The sequence below is a fragment of the Homo sapiens genome, chromosome 15 (genome assembly GCF_000001405.40).
Source record: "Homo sapiens chromosome 15, GRCh38.p14 Primary Assembly".
NCBI lineage: Eukaryota > Metazoa > Chordata > Mammalia > Primates > Hominidae > Homo > Homo sapiens.
Window position 1 is genome coordinate 54216438 of NC_000015.10, and position 26008 is coordinate 54242445.

General features: G+C 37.7%; 1 protein-coding gene across 7 annotated transcripts in view; it reads left to right on the plus strand.

Moving 5' to 3' along the window:
• The window catches only part of UNC13C (unc-13 homolog C), a 795839-nt gene that overhangs the window by 378836 nt on the left and 390995 nt on the right, over positions 1-26008 (plus strand). For 6 of the 7 annotated variants that reach the window (XM_047432538.1, XM_017022220.2, XM_017022221.2 and 3 more), the window contains 3 exons: positions 18593-18671; positions 19993-19998; positions 21182-21253. In XM_047432538.1, the coding sequence (XP_047288494.1) occupies positions 18593-18671; positions 19993-19998; positions 21182-21253 (157 nt within the window). The remainder of the gene's footprint in view (positions 1-18592; positions 18672-19992; positions 19999-21181; positions 21254-26008) is intronic. The other variant, NM_001329919.2, reaches the window with a different exon arrangement.

The following is a 26008-nucleotide window of genomic DNA, read 5'->3' on the forward strand; positions in this document are numbered from 1 at the left end:
TGGAATGGATATATTGTCTTGAAATTGCTGGCATGTTTGTGAAACTATGTGAAAACTTTTAAAAAATCGTTTATTGACAGCCAGTGTGTTCCAGGCACTCAGCAGAACAGACATACTCCTTCCCTACTTCAATGGAGTCACTTCCTATACAAATTTACTAGAGAGAAAGCAAGAGAGGGCAAATATGACACAGAGAGAAATAAAGGAAAACATTTAAAAATGATGGGCAATTCAACATGCCACTTAGTTCAGTATTTTATTAATACATGCCCAGAGTGAGCGAGATGAAAGACATTAATATTCTATGCCCTATTTAAGTTTCATTTTTCCCTTGCCTCACAAGCGTGAACATTGTTGTTCCGCTGAGGGTAATTTTATATATTTTTCATGCAACCATGATCTCTGAACTTAAGCCAGTTACATCATCTTATGTTCAACCAAGGGATGAGTGATCATGACAACACAAGAACTATAGCCATACTGGTCTTACTGTGAGATGGCATGTTGGTTTCTAATGTGGTTCCCTCCAAAGAGATCATCAGGTTACTTTAGAGTACTATGTGTTGTTTCCAATAAAGAAAATCATTCTGCTTTACAGCAACAGTTAAGGTATCTAGGAGTTAATGGAGAGAAGATGTGAGAGTCTGGAACAATTAGTACTGAGGAGGAGCTTTATTCTTTGAAGTTTATTTCCATTTTGAGATGGGGCTTAGAAAGATATTTGAGAGGATCAAAGTAGTGTTTTTCAGATATTAGGGTTCATAGAAAAATGAACTTGGTGGAGTCATCTGTGAGACTCTTGTCTGATGTGAAATTAAATAACTGGGACTAGGATTGTGGATAAGGGCAAGGCAAGGAAGTAGCTCAACCAGGATGTGGCATCATCAGAGCTAAGGTGCCAACCAAGGATCAGTAGAGGAAAGAAAGTCTGGAACAAAGCGTAGTCAGAAGAGGAAATTAACAGAGCCAAAAATACAATAGGGGGTATGATCAGAACTTTGTCGACCTGCCCTTCTATTCTTTTAACTCTCTATGCAGATAGGTACCTACAAGTTCATGTCTGCCAGAGGCTCTTTCATTAATCTGTTCCTTAGTTTGGATGATTGTAAATACCACAGGGCAGCAGGTGGGCCAGCACACATTCAATCAACTTTAATTTTGTTTCTGTCTACACAAGTCTCTGATCAAATAATTGCTACCAGTAATACATAATCTACTTATCTGTATTATCTCCATCAGTGCTCCCAAAGATGCTTTAAGGCAAGTAATTTTTTTCATTTTCCGCAGTAGATAGATTCATAGAGGATAAAAAATACTTACTGGCCTAGGAAATTTCAGGCTCTTATCTTCTTCCCTATGACTTAAGTTCTTGCTGACTAACCCTCTTTAGTGTGAGGTCTCTGACTTCTGCCAGGTCCGTAGGCTTCCATCTTGCTCTTTCCAGGCATCATTTCTGGGACAAAAATCTAAATTTTAAAACAGAACCATGGACTACTTAATGTCACATCCCTCTAATGTCAAGACCTATTCACCTGAACCTCAACTTTTCATTCATCCTTGCTACATGCCAGAACTAGTTCTAGGAAAGTAGAGATGAGTAATATCATTTTATTGATTTTTAAAAAATTTGTATTATAGTGGAGACATTCCCTGTGAACAAACAAAATGCAGTTTTATAGGGGATATGACAGAAGACTTAAAACAATTGTTCTCAGACATTTTTCTGCTCCAGTTCAACCAAAAAGTAGGACATCCTCCTGTCAGTAACAAGTGTTTACCTTTCAACCCACACATGTGCTGGCAACACATTTGAGGGAAAACAGACATAATTTTCTCCTCCTCTTTCTCCCCTCATTCCCCATCTGTTTCCACTGAGAAATCCTGAAGTTAAGGGTTACAGAGATAGGGAAGAGGGTTACCTGGGGATAGGGAGGAGATACTTATGGATCAGTGAGTGTGATATTACTGTCTTACTTGAATGGTAAGTAGGTGTTAGCATTTGCTACTCAGTGAGGAGGCCAGTACCAGTAGAGGGAATGGTGGAGTAAAAACAGAGAAGTGTGGAATAGTATGATGCCTCCCAAAAACCTACAAGGAGTTCAGGATGGCTGGAACAATGAAGCTCAAAGACAGAAGTTGAAAGAGATGAGCTATGAGGGGGCAATTAAGCCTCACTGGGATGTAAAGGGGTTTGTTCTATATCCTGTAAGCAATCAGGGATACTGAATATAAAAATGACATGCTTAGATTTTGTGTTATGGAAAAATCACTCTGTTGGCAATCCAAAAAATGGGCTGGAGAAAAGCTGGGCCATTAGGTCAGAATGCAAGAAGTGGAATAGGGCACTATTGATGAGGAGCTTCAGGAGGGGGACAGATGGCAAAACATCCTATTGTAACAATTCTACAACATACATTTTTAATACATTATAAAAAATAGAAATGCATCTTAATGGGACGTAAAGGACCTCTTCAAGGAGAACTACAAACCACTGCTCAATGAAATAAAAGAGGATACAAACAAATGGAAGAACATTCCATGCTCATGGGTAGGAAGAATCAATATCGTGAAAATGGCCATACTGCCCAAGGTAATTTATAGATTCAATGCCATCCCCATCAAGCTACCAATGACTTTCTTCACAGAATTTGAAAAAACTACTTTAAAGTTCATATGGAACCAAAAAAGAGACCGCATTGCCAAGTCAATCCTAAGCCAAAAGAACAAAGCTGGAGGCATCACGCTACCTGACTTCAAACTATACTACAAGGCTACAGTAACCAAAACAGCATGGTACTGGTACCAAAACAGAGATATAGATCAATGGAACAGAACAGAGCCCTCAGAAATAATGCCACATATCTACAACTATCTGATCTTTGACAAACCTGACAAAAACAAGCAATGGGGAAAGGATTCCCTATTTAATAAATGGTGCTGGGAAAACTGGCCAGCCATATGTAGAAAGCTGAAACTGGATCCCTTTCTTACACCTTCTACAAAAATTAATTCAAGATGGATTAAAGACTTAAATGTTAGACCTAAAACCATAAAAACCCTAGAAGCAAACCTAGGCATTACCATTCAGGACATAGGCATGGGCAAGGACTTCATGTCTAAAACACCAAAAGCAATGGCAACAAAAGCCAAAATTGACAAATGGGATCTAATTAAACTAAAGAGCTTCTGCACAGCAAAAGAAACTACCATCAGAGTGAACAGGCAACCTACAAAATGGGAGAAAATTTTCGCAACCTACTCATCTGTCAAAGGGCTAATATCCAGAATCTACAATGAACTCAAACAAATTTACAAGAAAAAAACAACCCCATCAAAAAGTGGGCAAAGGATATGAACAGACACTTCTCAAAAGAAGACATTTATGCAGCCAAAAGACACATGAAAAAATGCTCATCATCACTGGCCATCAGAGAAATGCAAATCAAAACCACAGTGAGATACCAACTCACACCAGTTAGAATGGCAATCATTAAAAAGTCAGGAAACAACAGGTGCTGGAGAGGATGTGGAGAAATAGGAACACTTTTACACCGTTGGTGGGACTGTAAACTAGTTCAACCATTGTGGAAGTCAGTGTGGCGATTCCTCAGGGATCTAGAACTACAAATACCATTTGACCCAGCCATCCCATTACTGGGTATATACCCAAAGGACTATAAATCATGCTGCTATAAAGACACATGCACATGTATGTTTACTGCGGCACTATTCACAATAGCAAAGACTTGGAACCAACCCAAATGTCTAACAATGATAGACTGGATTAAGAAAATGTGGCACATATACACCATGGAATACTATGCAGCCATAAAAAATGATGAGTTCATGTCCTTTGTAGGGACATGGATGAAATTGGAAATCATCATTCTCAGTAAACTATGGCAAGGACAAGGAACCAAACAGCGCATGTTCTCACTCATAGATGGGAATTGAACAATGAGAACACATGGACACAGGAAGGGGAACATCACACTCTGGGGACTGTTGTGGGGTAGGGGGAGGGGGGAGGGATAGCATTAGGAGATACACCTAATGCTAAATGACGAGTTAATGGGTGCAGCACACCAGCATGGCACATGTATACATATGTAACTAACCTGCACATTGTGTACATGTACCCTAAAACTTAAAGTATAATAATAATAAAAATAAAAAAAATTAAAAAAATGCATCTTAATAACTGATGGTTTATTAAAAATATTGGTAGCCAAGCAAATGTTGTGAGTTTCATTGCCTGCACACTTGTAAATGTAGTTAAAAGTACACTGGGAAAGAATCACTTTTTGACTGTTTTAGTGGTGGCATTGCTAAACAACTGCAATGTCTTATTGTTTCATTAAAAAAATAAGGATAATTAGGGGAAGGGTAGGAGGCTTGTTTGCCTGTTTTGGTGCTTTTGGTAAGATTGAGAACCTATCAACATCAAAACCTGTAGCATAGTGGTTTGCTACTTGGGATGAAAAAGACAATAATGGTGTATTATTTTATGTAATACTAAACCACAGATGCTCTTGCTGGCTTAGAGGACAATATTTTGGAAAACGTCCCACACGTTGACAATTCTGATGAAGTCTAATTCCAAAGATTTAGACTCTGAATCAGAAGTTTAAGAAATAAGTTAACAATTTATTTTGTGTATATTTTCCCTTCATGTATTGACAAAAATGGTAGATAAATAACAAAAGTCTATGTCATACATAGATTTTTCGTGTCAGTTTATGAGGGACCTAAATTTAAATTCTAATTGCTAAGAAGGCATAGTGTCATAATTTAATTATTTTTTTCACAATGTTGTATAAAATAATGAAGAGAGATGGTGTTATAGCTCTGATGAAATATGAAATCAAAAAATCGTTAGGATAAATTGTATGTGGAAAGTGAATCACCAATTGTACAAACATAAATATTCATTCAGTGTTGACAATAATTGAAAAGAGAAGGGAGGATAACACACTCTGAATGGCTAATATTTAGCAGGTGGAAATTATATGGAGTCTATAATAGTCATCAGGAAAATTATATTATATATATAAAATACATAACGTTAGGCAAAAATGCAAATAGGTTTTCATAGGTTATCATCAAATAACTAACTAAATAAAAAGAGTTGTTTGTAAAAGTCTAACAGAATAAAGTTGTATTAAAGAAGAGGGATTTAGAATGATTGGTTATCTTATACCTTGCTTTAATGTTCCATAATGCTAAAAAAAATAAGATTAATCACATAGCCCTATCGAACAATTGTTTTGGCAACACAGAAATAAACAGAAACACTGCATTTTCTCAGACCCACAGTCTTCAATTAATTCAAGAACTCCTTCAGATACAGAGTATACAAATTTTCTGATTTGTAATAGAAAATAGCCAGTCTGTGAATATTAGCTAAATAACTATCAACTGTCCTCTTGTGGAATGGCAAACTGTTGTCCCAAAATCAGAAAGATTTTTATTTGAAAAATTTGCTTGATAGTTTTTTGGGAATTTTTGTTTTATTTTAAATTTTAAATTTTTGTGAGTACATAGTAGGTATAGATATTCACAAGATACATGACATATTTTGATACAGGCATACAATGCATAATAATCACATCAGGGTAAATGGGATATCCATCAACTCAAGAATGTATGCTTTCTTTGTGTTACAAACAATTCGATCATACTATATTAGTTATTTTTAAATGTACAATAAATTATTGTTGACTGTAGTAATATGAAATACAAGATTTTATCCATTCTATCCATTATATTTTTGTACCCATTAACCATTCCCCCAACCCTCCTCCACCCACCCCTACCCTTCCCAGCCTCTGATAACCATCATTCTATTCCCTGTCTCCATGAGTACAATTGTTTTGATTTTTAGCTCCTACCAGTAAGTGAGCGTATGCAGTTTGTCTTTCTGTGCCTGGTTTATTTCACATAAAAGAATGACCTCCAGTTCCATCTATGTTGTTGCAAATGACAAGATCTCATTTGTTTTTATGGCTGAATAGTACTTCATTGTGTATAGGTACACATTTTCTTTATTCATCTGATGATGGACATTTAGGTTGCTCCTAAGTCTTGGCTATTGTGAACAGTGCTGCAATAAACATGAGAGAGCAGGTATCTCTTCAGTATACTGATTTCCTTTCCTTTGGGTATATACCTAGCAGTGAGATTGCTGGGTCATATGGTAGTTCTATTTTCAGTTTTTGAGGAACCTCCAAACTGATCTCCATAGTGCTTGTGCTAATTTACAATCCCACCATCAGTGAACAAGGATTCCCTTCTCTCTATATCCTTGCCAGCATTCATTTTGCCTGGTATTTGGATAAAAGCCATTTTTTACTGGGTTGAGGTGATATCACATTGTAATTTTGATTTGCATTTCTCTGATAAACAGTGATGTTTGAGCACATTTTCATATACCTTCTTGCCATTTGTATGTCTTCATTGAGAAATGTCTATTCAGATATTTTGCCCATTTTTAATCAGATTATTAGATTTTTTTCTATAGAGTTGTTTGGGCTCCCTATGTGTATTCTGGTTATTAATCTCTTGTCGCATGGATAGATTGCAAATATTTTCTCCCATTATGTGGGTTGTCTCTTCACGTTGTTGATTGTTTCCTTTGCTGTGCAGAAGCTTTTAAAGTTGATGTGATCCCATTTGTCCATTTTTGCTTTGGTTGCCTGTACTTATGGGATATTACTCAAGAAATCTTTGCCCAGACCAATGTCCTTGAGAGTTTCCCACATTTTCTTCTAGTAGTTTTATAGCTTCTGGTCTTAGATTTAAGTCTTTAATCCATTTTTATTTGATTTTCGTATACGGTGAGGGATAGGAGTCTAGTTTTATTCTTCTGTTTATGGATATCTAGTTTTTCTAGCACCATTTATTGAAGAGGACTATCATTTCCCAATGTGTTTTTTGGCACATTTGTTGAAAATGAATTCACTGTTGATATATGGATTTGTTTCTGGGTTCTCTATTCTGTTTCATTGGTCTGTGTGTCTGTTTTTAGGCCAGTGCCATGCTATTTTGGTTACTGTAGCTCTGTAGAATAATTGGAAGTCAGATAAGGTGATTCTTTAAGTTTTGTGTTTTTTTGTTGTTTGTATGTTTTGTTTTTGTTTTTGTTTTTGTTTTTGCTCAGGATAGCTTTGCTTATCCTGAGTCTTTTGCAATTCCATTTAAATTTTAGGATTTTTTATTCTTTTTCTGTGAAGAAGGGCATTAGTATTTTGATAGGGATTGTATTAAATCTGTAGATTGCTTTGGGTAGGTAGTATGGGCATTTTAACAATATTAGTTCCTCCAGTCTATGAACATGGAATATTTTTCTGTTTTTTGGTGTTCTCTTCAATTTCTTGCATCAATGTTTTGTAGTTTTCATTATAAAGATCTTTCACTTATTTGATTAAGTTAATTTGTAGGGTTTTATTTTATTTGTAACTATTGTAAATGAGGTTACTTTCTTGATTTTGTTTTCATATTGTTTGCTGATGGCATATAAAAATGCTACTGATTTTTGTATGTTGATTTTGTATCCTGCAACTTTACTAAATTTGTTGATCAATTCTAACAGTTTTTTGGTGGAGGCTTTCGGTTTTTCCAAATATAAGATCATATCATGTGCAAACGAAGATAATTTGACTTCTTCCTTTCCAGTTTAGTTGCACTTTATATCTTTTGTCTGATTACTCCAGCTAGGACTTCCAGTACTACGTTGAATAACCGTGGTGACAGTGGGCATCCTTGTGGTGTTACTGATCTTAAAGGAAAGGTTTTCAGTTTTTCCCCATTCAGTATGTTACTAGCTGTGTGTCTGTTGTATTTTTGGCACTTTTAATGTGTTAAGGTATGTTCTTTCTGGGAATTTGAAGGCTTTTATAGTGAAGGAATATTGAATGTCATCAAATGCTTTTTCGATATCAGTTGAAATGGTCATATGGTTTTTGTCCTTTATTCTGTTGATGTGATGTATCACACTGACTGATTTGGGTATGATGAACCATCCTTGTGTTCCTGAGATAAATCATCTTCGGTTATGATCAATGATCTTTTCAATATGTTGTTGAATTCGGTTTGCTAGTATTTTGTTAAGGATATTTGCATCAAATTAGTGTTCATCAGGGATATTGGCCTGTGGCTTTCTTACTTTCTTTTTTTGTTCATGTGTCTTTGGCTTTGGTATCAGGGTAATACTGGTGTTATAGAATGAGTCTAGAAGTATTCACTTCTCCTACATTATTTCTCAGAGTAGTTAGAATAAGATTGGTATTAGTTCTTTTTAAAATGTTTTCCAAAATTTAACAATGAAGTCATCAGGTCCCAGGCTTTTCTATGCTCAGAGGCACTTTATTGCAGCTTCAATCTCACTACTTGTTATTGGTCTGTTCAGGTCTTGAATCTCTTCCTGGTTTAATTTTTGTAGGTTTTATGTGTTTAGTAATTTATTAATTTCTTCTAGGTTTTCCAATTTATTGGCATATAGTTGCTCATAGTAGCCTCCAATGATCCTTTGAATATCTGTAGTATTGTTTGCAATATTTCCCTTTTCACCTCTGGTTTTACTTGTGTCTTCTTTTTTTTTTTTTCTTATTTAGCTTGGCTAAAGGTTGTAAGTTTTGTTTATCTTTTCAATAGCTTTTTTTCATTGATCTTTTGTATTATTTGTTGAAGATTAGATGGTTGTAGATGTGCAGTCTTATTTCTGAGTTCTCTGTCTTTTTTTTTTTAACTAGTACCATGCTGTTTTAGTTACTATAGCCTTGTAGTATAGTTGGAAGCTGGTTAGCATGATGCCTCCAGCTTTGTTCTTTTCGCTTAGGATAGTCTTGGCTATTTGGGCTCTTTTTTGGTTCCATATAAACTTTAAAATAGCTTTTGCTAATTCTGTGAAGAATGTCAAAGATAGTTTAATGAAAATCGAATTGAATATATAAATTACTTTGGGCAGTATGCCCATTTTCACAATATTCATTCTTTCTATCCATGAGCATGGAATGTTGTTCCATTTGTTTGTGTCCTCTCTGATTTCCTTGAGTGGTGGTTTGTAGTTCTCCTTGAAGAGGCCCTTCACTCCTTGTTAGCTGTATTCCTGGGTATTTTATTCTCTTCGTAGCAAATGTGAATGAGAGTTCACTCATGAATTGGTTCTCTGCTTGTCTGTCATTGGTGTAAAGGAATGCTTGTGATTTTTGCACGCTGATTTTGCATCCTGAGAATTTGCTGAAGTTGCTTATCAGCTTAAGAAGCTTTTGGGCTGACAAGATGGGTTTTTTAGATACAGGATTATGTCATCTGCCAACAAAGGCAGTTTGACTTCTTGTCTTCCCATTTGAATACCTTTATTTCTTTCTCTTGCCTGATTGCCCTGGCCAGAACTTCCAATACTATGTTGAATAGGAGTGGTAAGAGAGGGCATCCTTGTCTTGTGCCAGTTTTCAAAGCAAATGCTTCCAGCTTTTGCCCATTCAGTATAATTTTGGCTGTGGGTTTGTCATAAATGGCTCTTATTATTTTGAGGTATGTTCCTTCAATACCTAGTTTATTGAGAGTTTTTAACATGAAGAGATGTTGAATTTGATTGAAGGCCTTTTTGCATCTGTTGAGATAAGCACATGGTTTTTGTTTTTAGTTCTGTTTATTTGGTAAATTACATTTATTGATTTGTGTATGTTAAACCAACTTTGCATTTCAGGATGAAGCCAAGTTGATTGTCATGGGTAAGCTTTTTGTGTGCTGCTGGATTCAGTGCCAGCATTTTATTGAGGATTTTTGCATCAACGCTCATCAGAGATATTGACCTGAAGTTTTCATTTTTTGTCATTTCTCTTCTAGGTTCTGGTATCAGGATGAGAGTGGCCTCATAAAATGAGTTAGGGATGAGTCCATCCTTTTCAATTGCCTGGAGTAGTTTCAGAAGAAATGGTACCACCTCTTTTCTGTACCTCTGGTAGAATTCAGCTGTAAATCCATCTGATCCTGGGCTTTTATTGATTTGTAGTGTCACAGGGTCCTTGGAGTGTCAATTTGCTAGCTGGAAACCTCTGTTGCCACCAGGACCTTCTGCTTGAGTATTGCTTATGACCACTTACCTTGTTCCATCCACTTGCCCCAGCCAACTGTGCTTGGCTTACGCCACTGGCCCAGATCCTACACCAGCCAAGGACAAGCCAGGTGCAGAGTGGCAAGGGGTGTGTTGGAGAGCAAGCCTGGGGTCCAGCCACGGTGTAAAACCAAGCTGAGGCTGGCCGCTGAGGCAGGGCAGGCAGCTCCAGGCACCAGCACACATGTTGGCTCTGTGAGAAGGTGCAGCTGGACCAGATGTACTCCATGTGGCTTGCGCTGTAGGCACCTGTGTCTGGACAGAGGGATCATGGTGGTGCCTGGAAGCTTGGAGACATCAGAAACTGCAGAACTCCTTAAAGTGTGTCAGACCCCTGGCTCAGGGAGTCCCCAGGTCTGGGATCCTGGAGGGCAGCAGCTCTTCTCCTTCTCATTACCCACAGCGTGGCAAGCAGGGAAGGGTAGGGGGCATGTTTCAGCCCTGTTTATGTTACAACTCTTTTAGTCTCACCATTCAGTGGGTCCTGAGTCCTTATACTTTGTCCAGGAAGAATGAGGCACGCAAACAGCTGGAGGGTGAGCAGAGAAGAGCTTCGTGGAATGGCAGAATTGTTTTCAGGAGACCCAAAGTGGGTAGCTCCTTTCCTCAGGCAGATCGTTCTTATTTCTGTTTAAGTCTGGCTGAGTTCAGGTTTTTATGGGCTCAGAAGGGAGGAAGTGTGTGCTGATCGGTCCATGGATGGCCACGGGCGGGCCTGGAAAAAGCACCATAAGTTCTCACTCCTGGCTGTGGACTCCACCCAGAACTGGCAGCCCAGTCCCCAGGCTTCAAGCCATCCCTCGCTTGAAGGTGGGGTTTCACCACAGACCCAACCCTTTCCACCATGGAGCCTGCCTGCTGCCATCAACGTACCATTCATGGCACCCAGGCTGCTTGTGCCAAGGGGCACCTGCCAGCCCATGCTGAGCCACCTGCAGCACCCCCTCCCTCCCTTCCTGAGCTCTTTGGTGCCTAAATCTTCAGAGGGAGACCGAGGGGGCAGGGGGGTAGTGTGTCAGGACTTCCCTGAGTGCACACACACCAGCCAAGTCATGACAGCATTCCAGGCTTGGCTTCAGCCTTGTTCCAAAAGTGGCCCCAGGGAGTGAGATCAGGCACTTCCAAACCTGTGGGGACAAGGGGGCTTCCCGGGCCCCCAAGAGCTCAGGGATGCCCATGTCCAGCACCACAGCTAGGTGAGTACAGCTGTGTCCAGACTACCACTGGTAATGTGCTGGGTCAGTCTTGAAGCCGGTATAGTACTGGGTCTTGCCCAAGGCCTGTCAACCACTGACTGGCTACCACCTATGTTCACTTAAGGCCCTGACGCTCCACAATAAGCAGGTGGTAAGGCCAGCCAGGCTTGTGTCCTTCCCTTCAGGATAGTGAGTTCGCTCTCATTGCTGGTGGGTCCAGAGATGCCATCCAGGAGCTGGAGTCTGAAGTCAGAAACTTTAGGAATCTACCTGGTGCTCTATTCTCCTGCAGCTGAGCTGGTACCTCAACCGTGCTACAAAGTCCTACTCACTTTCCATCTCCTTTCCATATAAGAAGACGTGTCTCTCCCCATAGTCACCACTGCCCTAGGCCCATAGTGAGTACTGCCTGGCTACAGTCAGCGTTCATTCAAGGCCCAAGACCTCTTTCGTCAGCTTGTGGTGAATACTGCCAAGCCTGGAGTTCTTTTTTCAAAGCAATGTGCTCCCATCTGGCCCAGGGAAGGTCCAGAAATGCTGTCCAAAAGCCAAGGCATGGAATCAGGGACCCCAAGAACTCTGGGTGCTGTACCCCACTGTGGCCAAGCTGGTACCTAAGCTGCAAGACAAAATCTCCTTCACCCTTTTCTCTCCGTTTCTCAAGCAGAATGGGTCTCTCCCCATTGCCATCACAGCTGGGAATGTGCTTGGTTACACCAAAGCCAGCATGTCTCTGAGTCTCACCCAAGGCCCATGGCGAGTACTACCTGGCTACGGCTCCTGATTATTCAGGGACCTAGGGTATTTTAGTCAGCAGGTAATGAATCCTGCCAGGACTGGATTCTTCCCTTCAAGGCAGCAGGTTCCCTTCTGGCCTAGGGTGTGCCTAGAACTGTTGTCTAAGAGCCATGGCCTGGAATGGGAGTCTCAGAACTCTGATTCCTTATTCTGCTATGGCTGTGCTGGGTTCCAAGTTGCAAGACAAAGTCCTCTTGCTCTTCCCTCTCCCCTCCTTTCCTCAAGAAAAGGGAAAGTGTCTATCCCAGACCTGTGAGCTGTGCTGCCTGGGGTTGGGGAAATGGGTGGTACAAAGTCTCCCTGAGCCACCTAGATGGTGTATCTCTAGTTCATTTGCCCAAGTCCACTGGCTCTAAGCATAGCACAGCACGAGGATTTTCAGTCCTTGTACCTAGACTGCCTTTCAAGTTTATTTAGGACCCAACAGCATTGTAGCCTTTTAGTGGTGAGGCTTGTCAGAACTCAGGATCCAACTGCTGGGATGGGCTAGTCCCCACTTGCTAGGGCTGGTGTAAATGCTCCTTCTGTGGGCACTGGCTGAGTTCTGCCTGTTGTTGCTTTCTGCTGTGACAGGACAGCATTGAGTTCCAATGTTCCAACGCAAAGTCCTGCAATTACTGCATTCTCTCTCCCTCAAGCACTCAGATTCTCTTTCCATGCCATGTGGTCACTGCCAAGGGATCAGTGAGGGGTGGCATCAGTAATTATACGGTGTCATTCCGATTCTCTCCAGTGCCTCTTTTAGTGATATGAAGTTAAAACCAAGTATTATAATTGCTCACCTGATTTTTGGTTCTTATGAAGGTGTTTTTTGGTGGATGCTTGTTCAATTTGGTGTTCCTGTGGAGAAGATGATTGCTAGAGGCTTCTATTCAGCCATGTTGCTCCACTTCCTTGAAAGCTGACAGTCTTTTTATTTTTAATCACCTTACCATTTGTTTATTATTATTTTTAAATGATTGGAATAATTGTACGTATTTATCATGTACAGCTTTATATTTTGAAGTTCATTTACATTGTGAAATGGCAAAATCTAGCTGATTAACATATGTGTTACCTCACATAGTTATATTTATGGGGTGAGTACACTTAACATCCACTCCATTAGCATTTTTCCAGAATACAGTATATTGTTATGAACTATATTCACCCTATTTACAATAGATCTCTTAAACTCATTCCTCCTGTGTAACTAATTTTCTGTATCTTTTGACCAATATCTCCCTAACCTCCCCTTCCCTGCCATCCACCTCTTGTAACTACCACTCTATTCCCTAGTTCTGAGATCAACATTTTTAGGTTGCACATGTCATCAAGATCATGTGGTATTTGTGTTTCTATGGATGGCTTATTTCACTTAACATAATGTCCTTCAGGTTCATCCATTGTCACAAATTGTAGGGTTTTTTTTTAAGACTGACTAGTATTCTATTGTGTATATATGCCACATTTTCTTTATCCATTAATCCACTGATAGACACTTAGGTTGATTTCATACCCTGGCTATATTGTGAATAATGTGGCAATAAATATAGGAGTGAACATATTTTTTCACTGTTGGTAGGAGTAATGAATTATATGGTAGTTCTGTTTTTTACTTATTTGAGGAATCTACACCTCATTTTCCACAATGGCTGTATTAATTTACATTCCCAACAACAATGTGCAAAGGTCCCTTTTTCTCCATAGCATCACCAACACTTGTTATCTTTTATTATTTTCATGATAACTCTTGTATCACTTGTGAGGTGATATTTCATTGTGGTTTAATTTTGCATTTCAGTAATAATTAGTTGTATTGTGTATTTTTTTATATCCTGCTTGATAGTTTTCACGTGATATTTTCATGGTGTCTTCTCAAATTTCTTTTGCAATCTGTATATATTCAATATGTTATCAGTCAATTTTGAGTGAAAATAATAATTAATCTCTACTTAATCAGTAAAATCAACTTTTATTTTCTTTATCTAAATATGAAGTGTCTTAAAATTACAGAACATATGTAATTTGTATACTCTATTTTGCATTTATTTTATAACAAGACAATTAACTGAACCTGAGTCAAGGCACATAGCAATATACTGTACATCTCAGATTTTATTAAATTCAGTAAACTCATTTTAATATCATTATGGAAAGAACTGAGAAACAAAAGAAAACCACTGAAAATATTTAAAGTATGTTGGCTAAGAGTGTATATTTTAAAGGTCTCGCTACAAAAAATAAGTGAGGTGACAAGTATGTTAATTAACTTGATTTAATCAGCCCACATTGCCTACCTATATCAAAACATCACATTGTACCCCATAAATGTGTATAGTTATGATGTTAATTAAAATATTAATAAAAACTTTGTAATAGAGCTGATATTGAATTTGAGCATGCTTGATTTAGACTTTAAAATAATATCCATTTTGTCATTTTATGCAGCCATTGACTTTCCAACTACTTCCATCGATGTCTTCAGTTTTTTATCCTGTCTGTAATGCCTATAGTCTAATAAGTCTTTATTCCTAAGAAGAACACTTGAATACTTGGGCAGGGGTCATTTGAGGAATACTGAGGCTATTTTGTACAATGAAACAGGGTTGTGATCTGAAGATAATACTTTCCTGAAATACATTGAAAAAATATCCAAATGATGGCAACATCCCTGGATCAACTGGTACATGTGTCTTATTTCTTCTTAGCAAAATGCTTATTGATTATTAAGAACATTAAGTCTGAGGTAAAATGATCCTGCAGTGGAAATCAATCTCTGCAATATATTAGTTTCATTAAATACAAAATAATATTAATTGTAGACCTCAGTTCATATGAGTTTTAGAGATATAGGATATCCCAATCAGATAAGCAGTGGAGCACGGTAAGTCATAAACTGTGGGCTCAAACCTTGGCACTGCCATTTCAGATCTTAATAATGACCTTGGGTATGATTTTGAAGGATTCTGTCTTCATTTTCTTATTTATAAAATGAGAGAAATAATTGTACCTATACCTCATAAGATTTAAAAAAATAAAATGAGTTAACATAAGTAAAGTGCTTAGAATAATAAGCACTCTGTAAATGTTGGGTACAAATATTAGCATTATATCTGTCACCTAATAAGCACCAAAAAAAATTAGTTATCCTTAGTGAGTTTTCTGTCTACAGTCAATGACATCTTAAAACAATCAACTATACCTAAAAGGGCTGAAATGAAACAGCTTCTTTTCTTATCAGACCTTACCTTTAGAGTTACTTGTCTGCTATGGTCTGTTCTGATAACTTCATCTGACTTCTTGTTCATCAAGTCTAGACAGTTTCTTCTGGATTTTAACTGTGGTGCATGAACTTAAGATCTTGCCTAGAAAGTAAATGATTTATTTATATATGAATATTTCTACTATTTACTAGTTTGTGTTACTTAATCTCTCCAAGATCGCTCCTGGTAAGAAGCCTCCCAATAAACATTACAAAAATAGTTTGCATTTATGTAGACCTTATCTATATTTATCAAGTGCTTCTCTATTCATGAGGTGAGGTCAGTAAGGTAGACTGTTTTCGAAGTCATGGTTTGTGATAAAATTTTATATTATTACTTGATGGATAGGCTTATCAAAGTTTCTTGTAGTAATGATGAAAATATAAAAGTATAAGGAAACATAACCTGAGAAGGCTATGTTTTGAGGCTATCTGTGAAGGTTGAGAAAGTGTTTTCATTGTCTTGCAATTTTCCAAATTATAAAATGTAAGTTCAGTGAAATTCAGTGGTAAACTCAAAAGAGGCAGAGATGAATTTTGGATACATGTCTGCTCACTTGGGCTTGTTATTCTGCAGTGCTCATATTTGTCCTAGGTCCTTGGATATCTCTGCTCTGATGAGATAAGCATAGGAGTGAAGTGTCAGGCCCAATAATGCACATGCTTATAACTGATTCCCAAATTTGTGGGTAAATAAGTTCGATTCAAGATTCTGGGTGTACTTTGAAAATTTGAATTAAGTTTCATGGAAAGGAAACCATAAAAGAAATAATGGTTACTGATAAAAGAAAATTCACAACTCATTTATATAACACTTTGCAGTTTATAAATCAGTTTCTCAACCATCATCTGAATTGAATGTGTTTCTTTACATAGCTATGAAAGTTGCATTATTTAGAAGTCAAAACATTTCAAAATACTTGAAGGTTTATAGTTAACATGATTAATAGGTACTGTAATGGGAAAATATTTATTCATGCATGTTTTAGTTCATTATTGATACTGTTCACAGAGGAGAGAAAGTAGAAACTACTTGGAATGATAGCCTAATATTGGAGCACATGAAACTGGAAGAATCCTTCTAGATACCCATTCACTTAGCCTTTTTCCATGTATTTGATGTTTTGAATGTGGAAGGGTCAAGTATGAATTGGCAGGGGGTGGGAAGGAATATGGAAAGATGACAGGAGGGAAGCAAGAAGTTACTGATGGAGTAGTGCTGTGTATTCTGAAGGTGGGGCTTAAGAAAAAAAGTTTATCATTCTTTTCCCTTTTCTACTCCACAGTCTCTTGACATTCAAAAGAGTATGTCACCAATGATTCTTTCTTGTGATGTACATTCTCAAACTTTGACTCACTGTGACTAGCACAGCCCTTAACCTAGAGAGTGTTAATTGTCATTATTCTGGGCAATGAGGGAAATCATATTAGCTATTTTATCATAGAATTAGTGGAGAAAGGGGTCTTTTAAATGTCACCTTTCTCCCTGAACACATTCTCTTCAGTTCTTTTCTTCTCTCTTTTCTTCCATCTTTCTTGACCTCTGCTTCACACGTATTCTATTTCTTTATGATCAAAATTAAGGGGGACATTTAGTTGAAGTGCACGACTCTGAAAATAATTTGCTCATCCTTGACATCTTTCTTACACATTTGCAATGGTTTTAATATTTCACGCTCACTGCATTTGATCCTCACTTCCAAATATATGTTATGGCATCATTACTATGCATTTATTAATTCATTTTATCTTTATTACTACTTTGTTTTCATTTCTATTGACATGAATTTTATGACACATTTAGTTACTTGTTAGTAGTACCATGTTAGTAGTAGTGGATAACTGAAGAAGTGTTGGAGTTAGGCTCATGACGACTAAGAAAAATCCATTAAGACTAAGTTTCCTTATATTAAGCTAAGCAGCAAGAACATAGAGGCCATCTCTCTGCTGACGGAAAACTGGACTATAAAATGCTATTAATCTGTCATTAGCCTTTGTAGCCTGTTGCAATGACAGAGATGCCTAGCTATTACCGAGGGGCATGAACTGTGTTGTTCATGGTGAATAAGCTGACCATGGGCAAGAGGTCAGCAAGGGGTTTTGTAGTTCAAGTAAGCATAAGGAGAAGCTATCATCAGTAATATTAGCATCTTGTTGGTTATATTAAATGACTGGATTTAATGCAATAAAAAGTCAAATTCAATGTATCAAACTCATTCCAGAGAAACAAATGTTAATACCTCTTAGAAAATTATTTTAATTGCAAAATAATACATGCCTATTTAAAAACTGAATATTATCAAGTTTATAACAGGGATTTTTCTCTTTCTCTCACCCATTTTCACTCCACAGAGGTAACTACAGTTATCAATTTCATAATTATTTTTCTAGATATTTTATGTGCGTTCATAAACATATATATATAAGTTTAGTACACTCCCATGTCAGTATATATATATATATATATGGGAGTGTACTAAACTTACTAATACGCAAACTTGCTTTTTTTCACTAAACATCTTATGGGTATTTTTTATGTATGCGCACATATATTTACCTGTTTCACTTTAATTATTCTTCCCATTGATTCATTTAATCAATATGCTATTGATGAACATGTAAATAACCTAGCTTTTATTGCTATTATTTAAAGATGCAATAAACATCGTTCTACAACTACTTATTTTAATTCTGTGCATTTACCTGTAGGATGAATTCAGATAAGGGGAACTTGCGGTATAAGGGTAATTACCAATATCTTAAATATGTCCATGACTCCTTGAGACATTATTCTGGAGTTTAATTTGTGAAGCAGAAGCACACAATAACTGGTATTTTTATAATGAAGGTAATTTATTTAGCACCATAGCCAGACCAAACTTGCACCAAAAATGGTTTGCTTCTGTTTCCTCCTGGAGGTAAGAAGTTCCACAGATCTTACATTTTGATTCTTTCCTCTGTGATACTAACAGGAAACAGTGTGTCCATCCAGGCCATGTATATCTTAAATTTTCAACTATCCAAGAAGATGAGTCGTCAGCAAATGTGGTAGCTACAGTCTTTTTTCCTCACTCAACAAAGTCCTAGAAGCTTGTATCTTTGCAGCTTTGTGAATCGTTTGAAAACTATGGTATCCAGGTCATCTTTTTCACAGACTTTATACCATGAACAGTGGATGTTTTTCTTACAAGAAGTCATTTTACCCATTGCAATTATTGGTTTTATTTTGTCTTTCAGGGCTGGAGGTGGACTTTATGGTATTGACAGCATGCCGGATCTTCGCAGAAAAAAAACTTTGCCTATTGTCCGAGATGTGGTAAGTTACAACTGTTTAATTCTCTTCGATTGCATGTGTGGTTTTTTTCCTTACTAAAATGTAATGTCCTTCTCATTCACTGTCTAGCCTGTAAATATTCCATGGAATAAAAATATATGAGGCCAGATGCTACCTGCTGTTATATTTATTATTATTTCTTTAAAATCTATTAGATGGAGGAGATAACTCAAACCTTTGATAGCTTTTGATATAAGTGGAAATTACAATTAAGTGACTATGACCCTAATAATTGGAGCAAAAAGAAATCACACAGCATACCAAGCAAGTGAATAGGCTTTGATGTGTTTAGTGTTATGAATGACCAGAAGTTTAATTCACAATGCTTGAGGCTTTATTTAAACTTCTTCACCTTAATACAGTGGACCTGAATACTTTATACAGCAAGCAGATAACATTAATCAACTCTTCATTTTATTATATTAAAGTCAATTCTAGCTAAATTAATAAGCTCTTCTATTTAAAGAAAATCATGGTTCACTTTGGGAGGCCGAGGCGGGCGGATCATGAGGTCAGGAGATCAAGACCATCCTGGCTAACATGGTGAAACGCTGTCTCTACTAAAAATACAAAAAATTAACTGGAGTGGTTGTGGGCACCTGTAGTCCCAGCTACTCTGGAGGCTGAGGCAGGAGAATGGCGTGAACCCGGGAGGCGGAGCTTGCGTGAGCCGAGATTGCGCCACTGCACTCCAGCCTGCGTGACAGAGCGAGACTCCGTCTCAAAAATAAAAATAAAAATAATAAAAAAGAAGAGAAAACCATGGTTTTCAAGTTATTAACATCATTATTACTTCTGATCATGACTCTGAATAAATCTGTTTCCTATATTGAAATATGCTGCAGCCACCTTGATAAATGCAAAAAATTGACCATGGCCTACATTAGATTGTAAAAAAAAAAAAATCATCGTGAAAAAGTGTCTCTTCTATCATCCAAAATATCTTCACATTTTATGGGCATATTTTTAATATTATATGTGATATGAAAAATATATTTTCCCCCATAAAAAGTAAATTTTCTTTCAGCAACAACGTACATAACTTTTTACATCAGTAATTTTTAATTTTGCTAAGAAAGCCTTCATCTGAAGGCCACCACTTTGGTTTTAAAATATGATCCTGACTGAAAAGATCTTATACTGGAAAGTATAACATGTCAGTACATTTAGTTCAAATTTCTGTCTTCACTATGTGGAAATAATTGTAAAGTGTTAGGCTAATTTAACATTGTTATACTCTTTTCCTACCTTTCATGTATCTAATTATTTACATTTTGTTTCCTCTCACTTCTGGAATCTTCAGGCCATGGTAAGTGCTTTGCTATTTATTTAATTAATATTTTGCAGTCTTCTCAAACATACACTGCACTTACTCATGGGGTAAAAGAGGGCAAGAATGGAGAAATGAAAAGACAGACATACAAGAATAAGAAGTTTGTTCTGCAAGAATTTAACCTCTGGTTCAATTCTGAAAGAGAAAATTATGTATGCAACAGGTGCAAACACAGACCAAAATAGGATACAAGTATAGTTTTAGGGAATATATTTTTCAAAGATGAAACATTTTCTTGGGTAAACTCTTGGAGGTAAGTCTTCAAGGTAAATGTGGAGATGAGTGGAGAGTGACATTCTTACTCAGGTGTATGCTGAATTTTATTTGAGTTAATGACTTTGTAATGCTGAGGAGATATGTATATGACCAGATGGGTCTCAGGTGATCAAGAATGCATTATTCCACAATGACATCCCTTTGCTCCTAATGGGATAACAGTTTTACTGTTCCCATATGGAGGTTCTGATTTCCAACGTTCTCCATAGCACTGCTGAGTTTCTTGTATTTCATATATTTTGGGTAGGAGTAGATAGTGGTGGTTATGGTTCTATTTTATGTGGTGAGGAAACTAAAGGGACTTGACTCTTATTTAAGATCACTCAAGTTACCAGCATCGAGTGAAGAAAATGAATCTGGATATAACAATTCTCGGTAAATTAAATGAACACTTAGAAAAAATATCTTGAATAGATATGGAAGAATATTCTAGGGAACTATGAACAACTCAGGAACCATCTAATACTAATTATGATTCAGGGCCATCACCAAAGTCAGGCTGGCTCTCTACCAAAGGTTATGTATTCTGAATGAATATATCACAACCACCTTGAGGAATAAGAAAGTTTGAGAAGCCTCTTGCTAGCCTGAGGTGGTTGAGGGGGCTGGTCATCTTAAGACTGGTCATCTTGCCTTTCTGGGCCTCAGTTTCATCATCTATAAAATGTAGGGGTTGGGTTTGATGAGTTGTGGGATCGTTCCAGTTTTAATATTGTATAAGTCCATATTCTGGGTGAATCGGCTGATTACCAAAATGGCAGGTCCTTACTAACTAAAATATGAACAGTGATAGCCCATATTCTTGCATTTTCACCTTCTGCTGAGCAGTATATGCACGTCAACCTCCCTATGTATTAATAAGTCATAATTCTGTTTGTTTTAGACCCTGGCTGCCCGGAAATCTGGACTCTCCCTGGCTATGGTGATTAGGACATCCCTAAATAATGAGGAACTGGTAAGTACTAGATATTGCTCATAATATCTAACTAGATATTGCTCATAATCACAAGGGAGAAACTGTTCTGCTTGAGCTACTCATCTGTGATGTTTAGTCCAATGTTCCAGAAATAACTGGGAGCATGAGGAAAGCCTGACTCCAAACAAACTTCCTCAGGGACTCAGCCAATCATTGTCTTCTCCTCAAATACTTATAAACCTTCCTATCTTTACAAATGCTGTTCAATTCTAACATAGCTTCCCTGTTATTCTCCCTGTGGAAAAGTCCTACTGATTTTTTACATAGTTTAAGTTTTGCCTCTTTTACGAGGTTTTCCCCAAACATCTTCCATCTTCCTCCCCTTCCAGCTGAATGATTAATTTCCTCCTCAGGACTTTTATAGGTTTTTTTTTTTTTTTTTTGAGACAGAATCTCACTCTGTTGCAGGCTGCAGTGCAGTGGCACGATCTCGGCTCACTGCAACCTCCACCTCCTGGGTTCAAGCAATTCTCCTGCCTCAGCCTCCCTAGTAGCTGGGACTACAGGTGCTTGCCACCATGCCCAGCTAATTTTTGTATTTTTAGTAGAGATGGGGTTTCACCATGTTGGCCAGGATGGTCTCCATCTCTTGATCTCATGATCTGCCTGCCTTGGCCTCCCAAAGTGCTGGGATTACAGGTGTGAGCCACCACACCCGGCCCTTTTATAGCATTTATTCATAACCTCCATAGGGTCATATGATTACGAGTGAAGTTGGCTTGGTATGAGTCCCATCTGTGCCACTTAACTAGAATTATTATATCCCACAGGTTATGTTACTTCTTCAAGCCTGAGTTCTCTCATCTACAAAGAGAGGTGACAAGGAAACTGAGAGGATTAGGAAGTAGATACATGCTTAACATTCAGCATAGCTTAGGTTATAATAAGCAATACATACAAGCTTCTGTTTTATTATTTTTATTACAATTATTTTGATTATTTTGCATACACCTTTTCTTTTAAACTCTGATATCCTTGAGGGTGGCACTATAACTTGTTTGTTGTTCTTGTTGAATGATTCTACCACTATGGCTTAGCACACTGTCTGGCATGAGGTGGATGTTTGTAAATTCTGATTGAATGAAAGAACCACACTGATAAGAAGATACAAGTAGGCTGTAATTATTTAGGTCAGGGATTCTTAAATCCGGCTCACTGGAACTCTTGAGGGAGCTTTAAAACATACAGTGATGGGGTCTCATTCTCAGCCACTCTGATTTAATTGGCTTCAGGTGTAGTTTGGGTGAAAGCGATTTTTAAAAAAAATTCTTGTGTTTGGTGCCTGGCATGTTCTGTTCCGGTAAATGTGTCTTGCACATTCTGCTGGGGATTTACTTGAGACAGTTTATCTGTGTCCCTCCCTATGCCTGGAGACTAATATATCCTACCTCCCCAATTTTAGCAACTTTGTCATTCTTGTAGAATAAAAATTCTGCCACAAATATTATATTACCCATTTTAACTTTCTGTAACTTAACATTTAAACACCATTTTTATGTCTATATTTCTCATTCCCTTCCTTCTTCTTTCTGTCATTGTCATCTTTCATCCAAATGTCAATCTTTCCTGGGTTTTTCCATCAGCAAGCTCCCCTACCCAGTACATATCAGTAAAACAAAACATATTCGTTTGACTATGTGGAGGCTACAACAAGTTGATACATTTTCTATTGTGCCACAGGAGAAAAAATGTAATTGCATTCTCAGAGTATTATTCTTTCTTTCTCTCTTTCACTCTTTTTGTTTATTTATTTTTTGCAGACAGAGTCTGGCTCTGTCATCCAAGCTGGAGTGCAGTGGTAGGGTCATAGCTCACTGCAGCCTCAACCTTCAGAGCTCACATGATCCTCTGGCCTCTGCCTTCTGGGTAGTTGAGGCTAAAGGCATATGCCACCACACTCAGCTAATATTTCCTTTTTTTTTTAGAGACAGGGTCTCACTCTGTTGCCCAGGCTGGTCTCAAACTCCTGGGCTCAAGCAGTTCTTCCACCTCAGCCTCCCAAAGTGCTGGGATTAAAGGTGTGAGCCACCATGGCCCCCACCTCCTTATTCTTATCTGTTAGATTTATGATGCCATGTAATATTTTGAGTATAGTTTGGGCACAAGACAAAGCAGACATCCTCTGGTGTAGGAGAAAGCTGCATATTGCTTGCTGAATCTCAAAGCATCTAGTCTTCTTTTGAGTAAATAATAAAGTCTGAAGAATTTTATTGATAAACTCCTACACTGTACCTTTCTTATGTTTTAAAACATGGTATTTGATTTGAACTATGAATACCAATTCATTTGACAAGTTAACAGGAAAGCATAGAAATTAGTGGAATGCTAGTGTATTTTCTGAGTCCTGGACAGGGAACATATCCTCGCTTTAAGGTTAAATTAGCTATTGATCTGCTTTTCAACAACTTAAAAATATCACCTTTACTCCTTTAGTTTCAGAAGGCTTCAGTAAAAAAAAACTGTGTTGGTGTTGAATGGATGAACAGAATCCATCAGTTATGTCTCAGATTCGTAAAGCCCATTTCCCTGGGACTCATGCCTCAAAAAGTAAATGAACTATGACTTCTGTACAACAGGCATATTAAATGTCACTATTGACGAGCTGTCGCATTCAGTCATTACACAGGCAACTAACATAAATGCTGGAGCAAATAATTTGCACTTCTTGGTGCTGAAAATCTTTCTAGGCACACTTGATACAAAAGCATAAAATATTTGCTTTTATGTGAAGGGAAATGGCTTGGTGATGTGGAAAATATCAAATGGTACCACTTCTATTTTAATTAAAGAAATGTACACTTTGAAGCTCAGTCATCTTTTCCAAGGACAGAACAGACACTAATGCCTGATGCAGGATGACAGTGGGTCACCTAGCACTGCCTCCTTCACTAACGCTCTGCTGGCCATGGGTGAAGCATCGCCAGTGCCCCCATCCATCACCAACTCCACCTTACCCATGAGGCGCTATTAGGACTGATTGAGAATCTCAGCTTAATAAGCTGTTAAGGATTATGATTTCTGAAAATTTCCATCTAGCTTAGTAACATAGGGAGGACCAACCAATCTAGCATCTAAATACCATAGCAGTAGTCTCCCTAGCACTCCGCTATCCATCTCTGTTTTAGTTTCACAGACTGATAATTTCTTAGGTGTGAATCTGACAGTGGGGCAATCAAAGTATATCCATTCGGTAATTCAATACATGCTTATTGACTATCTGCTATGTGTCAGGTGTTGTTTCAGACTGGAAATAAAGTAGCGAACAACTCAGCCAAAAATCTCTACTTTCATGAGGCTTACCATACAGTGGGAGGGGGATTGAGATACTTAATTTTGTATCCACTCTTGCTGCAAGTCACATGGAAGCTTCTAGTAGGCAAGATCGTTTAAACCAAGATAGTCTCAGATGAGGTTTATGGGAAACCAGGTAGAGGGAGAAATGAAAATGACTAAGCATAAGAGGGATCCTAGAGCCCTGTTGGTTCTGTCTGGGTTGATGGGCATGTTAAGGCTGGCAGGCTTCTAGGAAGTGTTCATTCTCAGTAAGGGGAAGTTTGTCTAGGATTCAGACTTCGTGAAAGGGACTGAAAAGAACTAGATGTGGAGGTAATCAGGAGATCAAACCGGAGCCCTATTTCTAGTATGACACTAGAAAGATAACATGGAAGGAGAAAACTGCTCAGAACACCTCTCTGAGACTTCAACTTCAACCAGAGCTGTAGGCTTACAGCACACCCAGGTACTTCAGACCCCTGCTCAGGAACAGGAACACTTTCAGGCCACCTGGATAAGTTTTGAAGTGAAAGGGGCCTGAATTAGAATCTCAACTCCACCTCTCACTAGCTTTGACTACTTGTTTCTTCTCAATATTCTTCACCTTCCTGAGATAACTTTGCTTCATCAATAAAATGAAAGTAATAATAGTTACCTCACAGTTTGTGAGAATTAAAAGAAATAGCTTATGTAGAAAGCTCTTTGTTTAGTCAAACCCTTCCCATTCCCCCTTTTCTCTTTATACAGTGGCCGGCATGGCAGGTGGCCATCAGCGCAGTAGGGCAGGAACTTGTGATCGGGGCTGCAGAATACATGCTGAGTCTAATGCCTCCCTGCCCTCTTTGCACCTGAGGGTAATTTTCCTTTCCAGGAAGTACTGACATGGAAGCCAGCAATAATGACACCAAAGTAAAGATTATCTCTTGTCTGCAAGTATTGCTGTTGGTTCTGTTATTCTTCATAAGCACGGACTTTGACTTGAGATCCATGTTGGTCCAGTTCTACAATTTACCTTCTGTAGGGCCTAGGGCAAGTTATGGAAACTTTCATGTCCTTGATTTTCTTATATGTTTACTAATTATATCATATTTTTGCATCTACTTTGCATCATAAGGTAAAAATGACTATGTTTTTCTGTGTTCTTGAACAATTTTGGCATCATTATTAAACTAGCTTAATAAGATAAGTGAGGAAGATTTCCTTTTTTTCCTTCTCTGGGATGGTTTCTATAAAATAAGTTCTGTATCTTGAAGGACTGGCAAAACTTGTCCTCCAAAACCACCTGAATATGGTACTTATTTTGAGAGTAATTTTTTGACTGTTGAATCAACTTATTTAATATAGTGATTATGTTCCCTAAGCATTCATTCTTGAGTTAGTCTAGACAATTTATATTTTTTCAGCAAGTTGTCTTGTTTTTCTAAATTTTTGAATTTAATACCATCAAATTGTTTATATAAT